Here is a 17,812-nt window from a genome sequence, read left to right as displayed (position 1 = left end):
CTATAAAAAATAGAAATATCAGCCAGGCATGGTGGTGTATGCCTGTAGTCCCAGCTACTTGGGAGGCTGAGGTGGGAGGCACTTGAGCCTGGGAGGTGGAGGTTGAAGTGAGCTGAGATCACGCCACTGCACTCCAGCCTGGGTGACAGAGCAAGACCATCTCAGAAAACAAACAAACAAAAAATACCACATGGCCAAATGAAAGATGTCTGTGGTCTGAATTTGGGCCAAAAGCTGTAATCTTACAGTCTTTGATTATTTTTTAATACATGCTGAATTCCAAGAGGAGCTGACAAATCTCTTGAGATTTCACTTGGGTTCCATGGATTCCCAGCACAAAATGCAAATGCAAATGAGATATGATTGGGATTCTCTGCACACTATCTCCACTTTCATAAGTGCCTCTGAAGTTTAGTTTGAATTTTATAGTATCTCCTACCTTGCTGTACCTTAAAGGACTAACAGCAGCTACCTGACCCAGGATTAGCCAGTCATATTTTTTCCAGAATTTGTAATTGGAACAATTGAGATGGTAGTCTTCTGCTGGTAGTTTGAAGAGAGGATATGTAAACTTGGTAGCTGTGTACTTAGAAGCAGAGAAAGCCTGTTTTCAGAGAGAAGAATGAAGCAGGTAAGTCATCTGGAAGGACAAGCAGAAGCACAATTTTGGGAACAGTTGCTTTCAGAGTCCTGATGGCATTCCAGCCCCTTGTCCTAGTGCCAGTTCAGGCCCAAGTGTTTGGCCTTTGGGACCTATGATACAGATATCCTATTTCCTTTTAATTAATTGCCTCTTAAAATTACTATTATTAAGCTAGCTTGCAAGGGTTTCTGTTACGTGGAATCAAGGAACCTCAGTAGAGAGGAAAATGAAGCACTTTGTGGTGGTGCTGCACAGGGTATCATTTTGCAGGGTATATACTGTGTGTTTTCTACGTTGACTGGAGTCTGGGGTCAGGTGTAAGAAGTGTTACATAAACATTGGGTTCAAATGAGTCAGAATAAAGTCAACTAAAAAAATAAAAAAGACATACATGGACTTCAGAACAAATGTTTATTACTGCTTAATGGGGCCAAAGGGGCAACACAAAGCATTGAAAACATCACTGGCTCACAAAAACAGTCACCTTGTTACCTTCTCAGTTGCATTTGTTTATTTCACAAGGCTTCATTCACACATAAAAACAAGATACTAATCCAATTCAAGTTCATAACGATTATAAAAGTAAACATTTGTTGGGACAATGTACAATAAATTGCACTTTTTAGACAAGCATTACATTTACATTTATAGAGTGTACTATACATAATACATGGAATTACGGAAACGTCTAATTGGTCATTGTTTATAGAGGAAGAGGCTGATCACTAACGTTTATTTTGTAGTTAATTAGTACTGTTCAGACTAATCAACTCCTTTATTCTAGAACCTGTTTTCATTAGAGATGCCATGGACAAAATAATGGAATTCATAAAAATAGACAATTCCAGAATCTCTACTACCTCCTCTGCAAGGGAAAGGTAGGAGTTAGAAAGAAAGGAAGTGGGGCTGACTGAGAAACTTTGTCCCTCATTTGAACTAAGGATCCATGCATTATGCAAAATACCAAAAATAGAGAAACTGATACAAAAGGCTTTTGGGACATCTTGGATCTGGGACCATCTCCAGCCTTATTCTTGTGCTTTCATGACACCAGAGTCTTTCGATGCATTTATATTCTCACAATTCAGTCCATATATTTTATCCCATATATAATATATAGTTATTAAAAGTTATACAGTTTAATGGAAAAGATTTTACATGTTAACTAATTGCCAATGAAAAAGGAAAATAACTTAAAATGTTCACTTTCTACTCAATGATTCTTTTTTCTTAAGCTTTTCAGAATACCACTAATGACAAACCAGAGATGGAGGTAGGAAGAATGGGATATATTAATGAAATGTTTTTATAGCAGGCAGCAAATTCAGGTGGAGATAAGCTTGACATATGTAGTCTTTTAGATGCAAACTGAGAAAGGAATGCCAGACAGCTGACTGCAGTCACTAAAATCTCCTATATGCCCACTTTTCTCATTACAACTCAAGATCAGCATCTCCTATTGAGGTGCAGCCAAGGTTGAAGTCCTCATTTTGGTCACTTTTGAAAGATAAAGAATTTGCTAAGGTAAAGGGCTTTGCCTGTATTAAATGGAAGCCATTATGAGAGAGGAAGAATGTGTTGGGACAGTTCTAGTTCAGTGTGACTATCAGCATGGCGACGAGAAAGAGTTTTATATCTGGTTGTAGGAAACAGGCTGCAGAGCTGTGGTCTGGCCTTCTGGCTTTCATCATCATTTCTTGAAATCTCAATGTGTATTTGGTTGTGTGGTACCCAGGTAAACAAAAGCAGCAGAGATACTCTATATAAAATTCTTCCAATTAAACACACATACAAACCTAATAGTGTTCAAATCATACAACAGAATTTCTTCACACTCATTTGTAATTGGAGAAAAGGAGTCAGTATTTTGGAGTGTTTTTAAGGGCAAGTTATATAATATAATCATCTTGCTAATCAAGTAAAAGTGTTCTTTCCCAGAAGATAAAACAAAACCAAGGCATTTAATTTTTTAAAAGTTTTTTCCCTTAAAGGGGCCCCCCTAATCAGGCAGGTACCTAAGTGTTTGATGCAAAGGTTGGTGGGAGAGTTAGTAGACAGATTTTAGTGAAAGTATGAAGACTTAAACCCCTACATCAGTTACACATGTGATTCTCCTGGGTGACTGGCTCACTCCTTTAAAGATGTAACTCTATCTCCTCTGCCCAAATCTGTATTGTTTTCCGTTGGTTTTCTCACTTCAGCTAGGAAATAAAGCAACTAGTTATTAACTGGAAAATATTTTAAGAAAATGGAGCAGGGGTTGGAGAAAAATAAATATTAATACATCATAGGAAAAAAATGAAACAAGATACATACTATTAAATATCCCCACATCCATACAAAGGTTGCTTTTCTACTTTACTCAGGACATTTCAGAAAGCCAATGAAGAAGTACTAATTTAACAGCTGGGAGAGGGGCAGAAGACACTGGTTGAATGGCATTCCTATTAGTGTTCCTGATAGGCACTCATAAATAAACAGAACATTAAGTAACAGAATTTCTTTGCATTAAATTATATGTAACTAAATAAAACCAAATTTTGACATGGTTCAGGATGTGGGAAGCTAGCAAACATATGCACTGCAAAATCCAGCTTGGTTTCTTTCAGATTTAAAGACGTGTTTAGATTCTCAAGATACAAAAGCTGATGAACTGAATTATGAAGTTGAATTTCATTCATTTAATTTTTTCCACAGAATTTAATGAAAATAGAAATGATCAATTCTTAGATACTGCAAATATTAGATTTTCAGAGGAATGTTTTGTACAGAGTGCATCCTAGCAAAGGATGAAAAACACTAGAATGTTTTGAAACTTTCCTGGATATTTGGCTGGTTAATCTCTTCTAAGTGAAATTCAAGAGAAGAGATGCAATTCTCAAATATATCTCAAAATAACTAAAATTAAAACTAGGAGTTACTTCATGCTGGGATGCATGAGTTTTCCAACAATAGACAGTGAAGGACATATTGTTTGGAATATTGCTATTATAACATATTGTATGAACAATCATATCACATACCAAATTCTGAATTTTCTTTGTTTCTAGTCTTTACTATTGCTACTGACTCAAAGGCATTGCAGTGAAGGAGAGTTTAGGCTTATGGTACCAACAGGCATACCCAAGTATGATATGGGGCTGGAGAATAAAAAAAAAAAAAATATGTATTGCCCTCGTAATCTTTTGAAAGAGCTAAAAGAAAACTCAAAAGATGGACTTATCAAACTTGAGAGGTATGTACCTGGTGATTTTTCGAGACGGAATTTTGCTCTTGTCGCCCAGGCTGGATGGAATGTAATGCCGTAATCTTGGCCCACTGCAACCTCTGCCTCCTGGGTTCAAGTGATTCTCCTGCCTCAACCTCCCGAGTAGCTGGGATTACAGGCACCCGCCACCAAGCCCGGCTAATTTTTGTATTTTGCAGTAGAGATAGGGTTTCACCATGTTGGCCAGGCTGGTCTCAAACTCCTGACCTTAGGTGATCCACCCACCTCAGCCTCCCAAAGTGCTGGGATTACAGATGTGAGCCACCATGCCTGGCCAGGGGGGATTTTTCTCTTCTCCTCTTTAAAAGGAAAGGGACTATGAAGTTGAACAAGGTCTTTAGATAAGGGATTGACCTAGAGCCATTATGTTTCTCCCTCACCTACTATTATTTAAAGAAAATTACACACTTTAGGCATTCTGTGGAATGTACTTATTTTTGTAAATTGAAACAAGCTCTGTACAGAACTATGAAATTCACAACACAAAAGAGCATCTTTAATTTAGCTGGCCATTTGATAAGGCAACTGCACAAGGCTTCTTGGAATCAAAGCGTAAAGTACCAGTAAAGCTAACAGCCTATACTAAATGATTTACAAAAACAAGCGCCAAGATAACATTTTCTAGCTATTACATTTTACAAAAAAAAAAAAAAAAAAATTAGCTTATCTAGACCACCATGTAGAGAATGTTAAAGCCAACACAGACACTTGGAATGCTGGGTTATGTTCCTTTTTGTTAAGAAAATAAATTTTGTAATGAAAGATGTCAGAACAACAATGAAAGATTTATGTAAGAAAAGTATTATCTGATGAGTATAACATAACAATCACATCAGTTTTATGGGCTGTAGAGAATATAAACACAGATAAAGGGGATTTCACTTTTTAGAACATAAAAGATCATTTTAGAGGAAAAGATCCACTGTGAGCAACTTGGTGCATCCTCCTGGGATGTAGATGGCTCTTATTTGATTCTTCTAAGGGTGTGTTACTTTTAATTGCAAAATATGGCACAGATGAGAATCATTCTGGCACTACAGAGTTTAAGATTCTTTGCAAATAATATGTTCAACAATGAGGCCAATGATTAATATCAACAAATGTTATTGTACATATCTAATAGTAGTTTGGTTGGTTTGAAAGGATCAGAGGCCTCCAAAATAGTTTATAAAATAAAAATAGTTTTGCTCTTATCAAATAATTTCCTGCAAGGACTATTTTTATAGGCATGTTAAATATAATTGAAAAAATATTTCCACTAATTTTTAAACAATAGCTTTACCTTTCCATGAGATAAGTATTTCTGTAAAGGTTTTATATTCAATCAAAAATGTTACAAATGCATTTGTATCTCTTTATGGGTACGAAGGACACATTTTCAGGGAACTACAGAAATCAGAAAAAGTTGCCCAGCATTAAACTAAGATGATGTGAGCCTGACCTCTATTTCCCATTTCAATACTATGTCCTTTAACAAAGTTACAGTATTGTTAGTGTTTCCTTAGCAAGTATATATCAACGTTAAATGAAATACTCTGTCCCTGGTTCTATATTCCACTCTATTCAGCACAATGGCTGAACCTGGGGCTTTTTAGGCGTCTCTGGTAAAGGCTCCCTAAGTCTGTAAGGTGCAATATCCACCTTTAACTTTATAATTGCCAGAAGTCACATCTGTGTCCATACTTTGGTGTACTTAGGAACTCACAAGTCCTATGTGGCATTCTTAAAAGGATCTGTTAGAATACCACAGCCCAAATGATCCTGACCTACACTTATTAAAATTTCAGTTCCTTTTACCTAGCGTATAATCTGAACAGCCCGTCTATTCCTGGCACTTCATTTCCAGATGTACCGAACAGAAAATGAAAGTAAACCAATGATCGCTGATTGGTTCTTTCCTTTGGACAGGATTAACACTTCCCTGGGAATCAGGCTCAGGAGGAAACCTGAGAGTGGTCATGCCTGGCCCCACAGTGTGCTTTATCTGAATAAATCCTGAAAACTTAAGATGTTTAGGTTTCAATTTTTTTTTTCCTGTGACAAAGATCTTCTTATCACTTCAACCTTGGAATAACAGATGTCTCCATTTTTATGTAAGATAAAAATAATTATGAATAATTCTAAATAAAAAAGCATTTAGTTCTGAATTACTTATTTCCAACTAAACATCAGGCAAACAAAATAATGTGTAATACTATGATGGATCTGAACATGGCCTTCCAGAAGCTGGAAAATAGGTATTCAACATAGAACAGGTCAGTTTAAATAGCATCCCTTTGAAAAGTGTCATACAAGAAAGAGTGAGAGCTACTGAAAAATTCTGGCTTGTTTTCTGGCCTCCTTGACTTTCCTTCAAAGGGACACCAGGAAGAATCCTCCCAGATTTCCATTGGTTTGAACATTGTGCTCTTGTGCTTGGGTAAGGCTGGAACTATGTGCTCTCCTTGGGTGGCTGGGTGACCGGTGCTGGCTGCAATGGCTGGGTGCCCGTGGCCGTTTTGATAGAGTTCAGGGTTTTGCTAAACCAAGAGTTTTTCGCAGCTTGGATTTCATTCATAAGGGCTCCTCTCTGATGTTCAAGTTCCTAATTAAAGCAAGAAAATCATCTGAGTTAAATAAATGTTTTCTCTTTGCCAATAAATAAATAAAAGTGTGCAGCTTTTTGGAGTCTCAAGGTATGTGCTGCCAATTTTCCTCCCACAAAACCCAGGAGAGATTGAATTGGCTTCTTAGTACAAGGATAAAGTTAAGAGCTAAAAGACTTATCAAAAATCTAGAATCTGTGCTTTCTTTAAACAGTGAAAGAAAAGCTCATTTTATTCTTTTTTTCCCTGCAAGTTAGGTCCAAATTTAGGTTTAGGTTGCAATCCGATATAACAGGTTTAAAAACCACAAATAAATGTAAACATATGGATGAATTTTTACTGATAGTAGAAGCATGAATGAATTCCAGTTCCAAAGAAATAGGCTTTGCCCTAAGAATGTCCAAGGTCAGAGCAGACACATGGTGGAAGCTGGCTGGTGTGGTGGAGGCTGGTGACATGGCAGCCATGGTGCTGGTAGGGATCACTGGGAAAATGAAATGAAGAAGAGTCCATCAGAAGCCAGGACTATTTCTAATTATATTATGCGCCAATATGGAGAAAGATAATGGGGAAAGAGGTTTGACAAAATGAGCTAAAGATAAAAAGAAGCTCTAAAGGAAAGAACGGGTGTCAGCCAATGTGTGACTCTCAGGGTAGACACAGCAGAGGGGGTTTGGTTTTTCATTTTCAGGATCAGCCACTGAAGTGACCACATTCTGTGAGAAAGGATGTAAGCAAAAAATCTCAGGGTAAAAAAAACAAGCATATGCTTAATTAAATTCCCATAAGATATAATTTTAATTATTAAAATTTCATTTAAAATTATATATTTGTTTATATCAGCGTTAAGAATACATGATATAAAATGTGATTATGCAGGACACATTAGCAGACAGAAAATGTATTCATCATACAATTCTGACCTAGATAGGTGTATTCTGAAGTACTAGAGTATCCTGGACCATTAATTGTTTATTCTTTCTTCTTGTTCTTTTATCAAATCACCAACCTGAATTTTACACTTGGCCTCCACCAACTGCAGTTTGGTTTGTGCCAGTTCCAGTTCCATCTCTCTCAGCTGCTTCTTAAGTGAGTCCTTCTCATCATCTGTTTCAATTCCCTGGTCCTCTCTGCCTGTGGCTGCTAGTTTCAAAGCACCCTCCTTGCTGAAAATGTCACTGCAGTGTTTGCATGCCATCATCTTACCCTAAAGTATCCAAAAGAGATAACCAACATCAAACTATTCCATAGGCTAAATCACCTTCTGAAACAATTTATGACTTTTTTAGATGCTGCTTATTGTCATAGATGCAGGCCCATTTCTGAAGGTTAATTATTTTTCTTGTGCTGCAATCAAAATCATTAGCCCGAACCCAACTATCCAAGACGGGTGCTCCTTTTTCCTGAAGTATCTCTAGAAATACCCTAGAAATAGAAGGTATTGTAGCATCTCTTTGAAATCTGTTCTAGAAATTTTATGCTATCATTATTCTTACTAGATGCCAAGCCCCACACCAAATGCTTTACTTGTAGTATTTCACTTAATCCTAGAGCAACTGTATAAGTAAGCACTATCATCATCCTCATTTCATAAAGAAACTCAGAGTTTAAAGAACTTGCCTGTAGTAGACTGAGGAAGGTCATCATGACTAACCTAAATCTACCCTTGCAACAAAGCACATGTCCTGTTGTTGAATTTTAAGCAAAGAGGACCCCTGTTGCTTAATAAAAGTAACTCCGGCCGGGCCTGGTGGCTCACGCCTGTAATCCCAGCACTTTGGGAGTCCAAGGCAGGCAGATCACAAGGTCAGGAGATTGAGACCAGCCTGGCTAACACGGTGAAACCTCGTCTCTACTAAAAATACAAAAAATTAGCCAGGCATGGTGGCACACGCCTATAGTCCCAGCTACTCGGGAGGCTGAGGCAGGAGAATCGCTTGAACCCGGGAGGCGGAGCTTGCAGTGAGCCGAGATCGCGCCACTGCACTCCAGCCTGGGCGAGAGAATGAGACTCCATCTCAAAAAATAAAAATAAAATAAAATAACTCTACCACATGCCCGCATTGCCAATCGGGCACACAGCACTAAACAACAGCAACTGTTTTCCAGACAATAGTACTGTTGTTTACTTATTTTCAAAAATAATTCAATAGAGATAAAAGATATTACATGCTATTTCTACTTTGATGCCCTACTGCTACAAGCTCAATGTGTCCATCACCGTGCCCATCCTCCTCTCTTCACACACACAAAAAGCAACTCTCCACCACACTTTTGTGCCACTGGGCATGTCTCCACCATTTGGGCCTGACGACTTTGGATCATCTTTTCATTAGCTCCTCTTTCATCCCATGTCCAGCTGACCATTAATTTCTTCCTCTTGGGCCAGGTGCAGTGGCTCATGCCTGTAATACCACAACTTTGGGAGGCTAAGGTGGGTGGATCACGAGGTCAAGAGAGCGAGACCATCCTGGCCAACATGGTGAAACCCCGTCTCTAGTAAAAATACAAAAATTAGCTGGGCATGGTGGCGGGCACCTATAGTCCCAGCTACTCAGGCGGCTGAGGCAGAAGAATGGCGTGAACCCGGGAGGCGGAGCTTGCAGTGTGCCGAGATCGCGCCACTGCACTCCAGCCTGGCGACAGAGCAAGACTCCGTCTCAAAAAAAAAAAAATTTCTTCCTCTGACATGTCTGAGCTCTTGCCATTCCAGGCCAAATCCCTAGGGGTCACCTTCTCAGTACTCACTGGCTTCCTTCTCATCCCATCCATAAACCACTCTTCGTATTCCTTTTCATTAATATTAATTAGACATGTAAAAACAAAACTTGTCACTCTCTTAAGAACCTCTGAGAATAATTAGCCCAGTATAGGCATATTGTAAATATTTGTTGTGTATTTACTGTTGACTAAAAATGTTAAAGAAATAGTTTTGATCTGAGTCTTAAATGATTAAAAGTTTACCAAGCTGGCTAAGTAATTTTATTAGGTTGAACCACCTGAAGAAATAGATTGATCACTTAAGAGGGAGGATGACATTTCAGCAAAGAGAACACCACCATGTGCAAAGACATAGCACCTTCAGATAACTTCAAAGAATTTAAAATGGCTTAAGCAGAAAGCGATTCAACAATGAGCGAGATGAGAGATCCCTGTGGCCAGGTCATAAAGGTCCTTAAATACCATGTTGCTGAATTCTGATTTTATCCTACAGAAAATGTATTCATTTACTCTACCGAGCCTCGTGCTACATGTCAAAGATAGAGCAATAAGTTTGACAGAGCTGCAGTCTGGCAGACCTGCTAAAATGTGGTGGATACTGCTGATTCTCACCCAATATCCATTTCTCCTTCTTCCTTACTAACAGACCCTGAGTTTATTTCAGCTGGCAGTGTGTCTAGATAAAAGGTGACACTCCCTAAATTCCCTCAAAGCTGCTATGTAAGCAGAAGTTTAGAGGGGAGCTTCTAAAAAGGCTGCTTAGAAAGAGCTCACCCAGGAGAATGAGGCCTTTATATCCTGCATCTCCTTTTGGACTAAAATTCTGCCATAGAGTATGGGTGTGATGGTGGGAGCTCTAGTTGAAAGGATTGGTTTTGTGCTGGGCACGGCGGCTCATGCCCGTTAATCCCAGCACTTTGGGAGGCCGAGGTGGGTAGAACATGAGGTCAGGAGTTCGAGACCAGCCTGGCCAACATGGTGAAACCATGTATTTTGTATTTTTCTACTAAAAATACAAAAATTAGCCGGGTGTGGAGGCGCGTGACTGTAATCCCATGTACTTGGGAGGCTGAGGCAGGAGAATAGCTTGAATTTGGGAGGCAGAAGTTGCAGTGAGCCAAGATTGTGCCATTGCACTCCAGCCTGGGCGACAGGGCGAGACCCCGTCTCAAAAAAAAAAGAAAAAAAGAAAGGAAGGATTGGTTTTTAGGTGACCTTGAGGATAGAAGTCCACATGACGATGTAGGTCACTAATGACTGATTAGCTTGGGTTACTAATGACACCAAAGATATACCTTTCTAGTCCTAGGCTGCTTTTATGTAAAATAATCAACACCTTTTATGTTTAAGCCAATGCTATTTTGGGTTCCCTATATGTGGCCAATCTAATTCTGCATTGATACACAGAGTGATAGTCAAATATCACTTTATATTTGGGAACACTCATTCTGATTATAGTGTAAAGGATGAACTGGGGGGTGATCATGACAAAAGAAGGTTATTACAGGAAACTGAAAAAACCAAAAGCTATTTATCATACCAAATGAGATAGGAGGAAGCACTAGAGAAAGGGGAGGTAGTATAGTCTAACAGCTAATGTTATTGACTTTAGAGTCTGACTTCCAGGCTTAAATCCTGGTTCTACTAGCTGTGTAACCTTGATCAAATGAATTACCTGTTTGCGACCTTATCATCAATAAAAAAGAAGCTTTACTGTCTTTTTCTTTTTTAATTTTGTACCAGGCTCTTACTGTCACCCAGGCTGGAGTGCCATGGCATGCTCACAGTTCACTGCAGCTTCAGCCTCCTGGGCTCAAGCGATCCTCCCACTTCAGCCTCCTGAGGAGCTGGGACTACAGGTGCATGCCACCACATCCGGCTAATTTTTGTATTTTTTGTAGAGACAGGGTTTCACCAAGTTTCCCAGTCCAGGAGTTTCACCAAGTTGAACTCCTGGACTCAAGTGATCCGCCCACCTCAGCCTCCCCAAAGTGTTGGAATGACAGGCGTGAGCCTAGTTGTTCTTCTTTATTCTGGCTAAGACAAGTTTACATTCCTCTTCCTGAATGTCATGGCCTTTCATTAGGTAGTCTCACCTACTTAGCCAATATTTTCCTCTGTTCCTTAATACATATTCTAATCACATCAGTCTCTGTAATGAGACACTGAAATACTCATTCCTGTGTTTGCGTCTTCACTCACATCATTTCTTCTATAATGTTCTGTTTAAACACTTCTCTCTAACTAATTTCTATCCACCCTGCTTTAGTCCAATCTCCATAAAGCCTTTTTTGGTCTATAGTTCTCATGATTTTGTTTTCTCTACAATGCTGATTGTCATTGTGATCCAACTTAGCACTTTTTTTGTTTGTTTTTTGTTTTTTTGAGATGGAATCTCACTCTGCTGCTCAGGCTGGAGTACAGTGGCACAATGTCGGCTCACTGCAACCTCTGCCTCCTGGGTTCAAGTGATTCTTGTGCCTCAGCCTCCAGAGTAGCTGAGATTACAGGTGTGAGCCACTATGCCTGGCTAATTTTTGTTATTTTTAGCAGAGACAGGGTTTCACCATGATGGCCAGGCTGGTCTTGAACGCCTGACCTCAGGTGATCTGCCCACCTCAGCCTCCCAAAGTGTTGGGATTACAGGCGTGAGCCACCACACCTGGCCCAACTTAGCTCCCTTGAACTGCTTCCGAAGTTCTTAATTTGCATGTATACATAACTTGTCCTACAGGAAAATTTTAAGCTCCTTTTCATGTGTAATTTCTATAACAAAATGGCAGTCTAATAGCTATGCACATAGTATATGCTCAATAAAACCTTTGCTGAATAATCAATATAAATTCTCATTTTGTTATTTCCATAAAGATTTCAGTTTAGCACTGAGAACACATGGACACAGAAGAGGGGAACAACACTCACCAGGGCCTGTTGTTGGGGGTGGGGACTGAGGGGAGGGAACTTAGAGGATGGGTTAACAGGCACAGCAAACCACCATGGCACACGTATACCTATGTAACAAACCTGCACCTTCTGCACATGTATCCCTTTTTTTTTTTTTTTTTTTTTGTTAGAAGAAATACAAAAAAAATTCACTTCAGGAGAGTTAACCCCTTTATGCCATTCAACTTCATCAACTGAATCTTGGTCAGTATGCCTATAATGTACAAAGAGTGGTAAGTGCTAACTAGAAAGAAGTGCAAAAGTAGACCAGAAAGGGAAGATACAAACATCAAATTTTAGCACATCAGAGAGGGAGAACACCAAACCTTATACTCACTAAATCTCTCATTGACATTTTGTAACATGAGTAAGAAGAAAATACTTTTGGAATACAAGGTCTTGTATGTCAGGTACTAATATAAGCACTTTATATACACTATGTACTTTATATTCATTATCTTATTTAACATTCAGAATGATTTTTTGAGGCAGGTAATGTTATCTCCATTTTATAGAACACAAAATGAAGCTTAAAAAGGTTAAATCACTTTTCAAGATTGCTAAATTACTTACTACACATTTATTTACTAGTATGAAACCTGAACATATTCAAATAAGATGATGTCAGGTTTCTGTAACACTGGTCCCAAAAGTTGACTATGACAATATTGCCTCTTAAGAATACCAATCCATTGGTTTACTGTTGTTTCTATGGAATAAGCAATCTGTTTTTTTCAAATAGAGCATCAACATAATGCATTTTACCACCAGGGGGCAGCAAGTAAACAAATGCCACAGGTTTTCTTTAAAAATAAACCTCTAAAAACTTAGTGCAAGAATCAGTTACCCAACACATGTTTTTCCAGCTAAGTTCTATATTGCCCATGGTGTTTACTTATAAAGAGAGTGATGGGATGATCCTACTGAGTCCCATACTGAAGCCACATCAATGCAGGCTCAGTCAGATGTGGGCTGCTGAGGGTTCTCAGGTTCATACCACTCTCATCTCAAGCTCTGGGGCTTCTTGTGACAATGTCAAATCCTACTTCCTTTCATGTTAGCTGCCTCTGACAGTCCATATGATTTATGGGAGCATCATAACCTTTCACCTGGTAGGGAAGACAATCACACCTGGTCAGAAGAGAGGTATCCTAGTCTCCATAATTCCTATTAATAAATCCTTTAATACAAAATGGTGGTGTTTGGGGTTCTTTCAGGTACTTACAAGCCTGTGTGACTTTGAAATAAATTTTATCACAGCACGATTTCACTCCTTACCTTTACCACTTCCAGCTCCTCCTTGCTGGCTGCTTGCTGTTTCTCCAGCCTGGTACTCAACTGCGAACAGATCTAAGGATGAGAAAAGAGTCTTTTACTAGAAAACAGAACAACTCTTGCAGCATGTACACATAACTACTTATCAATTCATGTGTTATGCTAGCACATCTGATCCTAGAAGGAATTTTACAAATGAATAGCACTGCAAATGCCAGTCATTTCGGAAATGAGCAGCAGAAAGCTGGAGCGTTCCATATGTAAAGCACACTCTACCTTAATTAGTAGAAACATACGGAGAGTAGATTTGGTTTCTTTCTGTCACTAGCCTTCTGTGACTGGTTCAAGTGAATTCCTGGCCTCACTTTTGGAATTAACCTATAGAATCTTTGCTGAGTATTCACTTTGTACAAGTTAGTATGCTGAGAAAATCTTGATGAAAAGAATTCTAGACAGAAATATCTCCTTTCTACTGTCACAGAAAGAACCTGTTTTCAATCACAAAAGTTTCCTTAAGAAGTGGCAGAGTGATGTTCTCACTCATAAGTGGGAATTGAACAATGAGAACACATGGTCATAGGGAGGGGAACATCACACACCGCGGCCTGGTGGAGGGGTAGGGGACTAGGGGAGGCATAACATTAGGAGAAATACCTAATGTAGGTGACGGGTTGATGGGTTCAGCAAACCACCACGGCACGTGTATACCTATGTAACAAAACTGCATGTTCTGCATGTGTACCCCAGAATTTAAGGTATTAAAAAAAGGTGGCAGAGTGGATAAAACAAAGTTAAAATGACCAGAAAATAATACAGACTAAAACTCTTATTAAGTAGGTTTGGCAACATAGCATAGAAATTAAAAACTTAGCTGCTGGAGTTAAATGTGAGTTTAAGGCAGGCCAGCTCCATTTCTTTATAGCTTTGTGAGCTTGGGCAAAGTCATTAATCTTTCTAAGACTCAGTTTCCTCATGATTGAAAAGTGCTGTGCTATAGCAATCAAGTGGAAAAAAAAGTATGCAAAGGGGTTAGCATAGCACTTGGCCAATAGTAAGTGTACATTAAATAAAATATATTCTTCTTATTGATTCTGAAATAAGGTGCTAACAAGTATTAGAAATGGTAGAAATAGGTGCTTTCAAAGGAAAAAATCTAGATAAATAAGTATTGGATGTTCAAATCCATTGTCTGAAATAAGAATCTTTTATTTTAGAAAAGTGGATGAAAGGTGGGAGGATCGCTTGAGCCCAGGAGGTCAAGGCTGCAGTGAGCTGTGTTCAGACCACTGCATTCCAGCCTGGGTGACAGAGCAAGACCTTGCCTCACAAAAAAAAAAAAAAAAAAAAAAAAAAAAAAAGATGGAAAAACAGGGGATGTGAAATTTTAAAGTATAATTTTGGATAAAAACATATATGGTCTACCTCTATTATCAAAACAGACATTTAAAAAATCCCACCCAGTCTACTCAAAAATAGCTCTGGTGATGAGGGCTTGCTTGCTGAGTTTAGTTTGTTGAGTTTCATTCCAATTTCTCCAGATCCAAGCCTGAGGAACCATTAGTAGGACGGTATTGACTGATGTTAAAAAGAAGAGATCACCATGGTAGATTCTGCAAACCTTAAACCCTTTTAAATAAGCCAAAACATTATGCATAGAGCCAGTAATAGCCAATTCCAACTATAGAATGCATTTAGATTGTGTCTTATATCCTTATCTTCAAACAGATGGGTCTGTTGCCTTTTGCATTATTTCAAGGGCTTGCCAGATAATATTCAAGAATAGTCCCCAGGATTACTATTTGAAGAGTGCTGCATTTGGTGGCCACCCATGGCATAATCTGGCAATGAAAAACATGCATTTGTAGCAATGGGAAATTCCACAGCACATAGTCTTTAATGTTCCTTGTATTGGTTAATGTCTACCACCTCTTCTCCTAGATGCCCACATTCGGCATCTCAGATCACCTTCAAGGTTTTCTCGTCTAGCAAAAAAAAAAAACAAAAAAAACTGTCTTTTGTGTCTCCCTTTTCTCTATTTTCGTTAGTTATTTAGTTCAGGGACCTGGTTCTTCTTACAGTTGGACTCTGGTATTCGCGGTCTGTCTCCTTGGTTCCACATTTCTTACTGGGACAGATTAGTGCCAATAATATGTCTTTGATTATGCCACTTTCCTGCTCAAAAAGATCCTACCACAAACAAAATAAAATCCAAGGTCCCAAGCCTAGCCCTGAAGACTTTCCTTGATCTGGACCCTAACGTCCCTTTGCTTCTCTTTTGTACCGGAATCTCTTACCAAATGAATTATTTTTCTCTTCACTAATCTACTTCCATGCCTTTGCACATCCTGTTCTCTCTTTTCTACCATTTCCATCCTCTTCTTTATCTTCTTTATCTCTACAGATCCAAGTCTTACATCGCCTTTGAAGCACAGCTCAAAAGGTTTCATTTCCCACATGTAATAAGTTTCCTTTCCTCTTATTTCTACGTAGGTATTACCTCCACATTATATGATAAGCTTCTAGAGAAGAAAACTTGAATTCATTCATCTTTTTGTCTGTCAAAGTATTAAGCCTCACAGAGAGCAGGCATTAAATAAACATATGTTGATTATCATAGAAGAGTAAAATAGCTCTAAAGTTTTATTTATCAATCGTCCGTGAATATGCGGATTCCTTATGGAAAGATGTTCATAATGTATTAGTGAACTAAAGCTAGTTACAAAAAAAAAGGATAAACAATACAATTCATCCTGTTTATATATATTTTAAATTTATTTATAAAGCATTTGTATAGCAACAATGCATATTCAATATATTACAATGATTAGCTAGAAAGACTGAGGGAGATTTGTTTTCTTTGTGCTTCTCTGCACTATTCTAATTTTCCACAAGAACACAAATTTAATTTATAAGCAAAAAAACACATTTTTTTAAAAAGTAAGTATCAGACTTCAGAGTCCTATGTGAAGTAGAAGACCCCAGGGAAATCTTTAGATCAAAAGATGGCATATGGTACTTTAATTAATTCTAGAAACCTGGAATTTGAACAGATAACTCAGGGTCTCAGCAATGAGAGGAGTCCTTGCCATGTCCAGCCAACAGGAAGGACAGGAAGATACCAGTAGATACCAGGAAAGAGGGCTTTCTGAGACCACTATGGTGATGGGGCCAGAAACATCCTCAAGAAGATGAGCCCTTTGTTAAAAGCATTTTAAGGTTCACAATAGAAAGCTTCCTGCTAGCATTGGCCTGCAGAGGGGAAGGCCACATAGCCATGTAGGAAAAAGAGTGCCTACCACATTCTGTACCATGGTAGCAAAGGGCACACTGATCCCCTAGCTACTGCCATTTAATACAATAACTAAACTTCACAAAGAGGCAAATGTTCCAAGTGTGATCTACTGGAAATTAGCTTCTGACTAAGGCAGAAACAGGATCTCAGTAGTCATCAAAAGGTTTTTCTATTCCTCTAAATCTACCCAACACTGTAAACAACCAATAGATTGTTTTGGTCAGTTAGACCTCCCAAGTTATCAGTTATAAGTAATAAGCTATAAGTAATAAGTTATAAGTATGTCCAACCAGTGTCTGCTTCAAAGGAGACAGTGAGTCACCAAATTTAATAAATCTGGAAAACTATTCTGGAAACTTTAAAAACAAAAATATTTCTTCCCCCAAAGAAAAACAACAACAAAATAATTACTTTTTTATTTTTATTTTTTTAGAGACAGGGTCTTGCTCTGTTGCCCAGGCTGGAGTACAGTGGTGCAATCATAGTTCACTGCAGCCTCAAACTCCTGGGTACAACTGATCCTCCTGCCTCAGCCTCCCGGGTAGCTGGGACTACCGGCACATGCCACTGTGCCTGGCTAACTAAAAAATTTTTTTTCCTTGTAGATATGGGGTCCTGCTATGTTGCTCAGGCTAGTCTCAAACTCCTGGCCTCAAGCAAAAAAAAAAAAATTACTTTTATAGCAGCAAACTATAACTAGCTCTATGTGCCACAGAAGTACATTACCTGTTTATACTCAGCAATGATAGCTGTAGTCTTCTTTATTTCATATTCTGCCTTCTCTAGCTGTTTCCTGAAGACTTCTTTTAGCTAGAAAGAATAGAATGAGAAATATCAGGATTTAGCCAAAATCTTAAATTTTCACAAACATCTATATTCAAGTCTGTCTGATTCATAGTCAGTAACAATGGTAACAATGTTAACTATATAAATTATCTTCATGGAAGCTGCATCTTGATAATCTGAAAAAGTCAATCATCTCCAGAGATGCAGAAACCTTACTTTCTTTTCTGTAAAATATGAGACATATGAACAACACCATTATAAAATTGCTTATGCTTGCTACTTCTAAACATATTGCTAAA

At 38.5% G+C, this 17,812-nt stretch overlaps 1 protein-coding gene across 20 annotated transcripts in view; it reads right to left on the bottom strand.

Moving 5' to 3' along the window:
* RABGAP1L (RAB GTPase activating protein 1 like) overlaps positions 1,036-17,812 on the bottom strand; it is an 835,789-nt gene continuing 819,012 nt past the window's right edge. For 15 of the 20 annotated variants that reach the window (NR_158982.1, XM_011510223.3, XM_047436028.1 and 12 more), the window contains 4 exons: positions 17,454-17,537; positions 13,439-13,510; positions 7,506-7,703; positions 1,036-6,495 (listed from right to left, as the gene is read on the bottom strand). Coding sequence is in view for 19 of the 20 variants with exons in the window: in XM_011510223.3 (XP_011508525.1) it covers positions 6,343-6,495; positions 7,506-7,703; positions 13,439-13,510; positions 17,454-17,537 (507 nt within the window). In the remaining variant the exon portion in view is untranslated. The remainder of the gene's footprint in view (positions 6,496-7,505; positions 7,704-13,438; positions 13,511-17,453; positions 17,538-17,812) is intronic. The other 5 variants (NM_001366448.1, XM_047436039.1, NM_001366454.1 and 2 more) reach the window with 1 other exon arrangement.

This window comes from Homo sapiens, chromosome 1 (genome assembly GCF_000001405.40).
Source record: "Homo sapiens chromosome 1, GRCh38.p14 Primary Assembly".
Taxonomy (NCBI): domain Eukaryota; kingdom Metazoa; phylum Chordata; class Mammalia; order Primates; family Hominidae; genus Homo; species Homo sapiens.
This window is presented reverse-complemented; position numbering and strand designations above follow the sequence as displayed.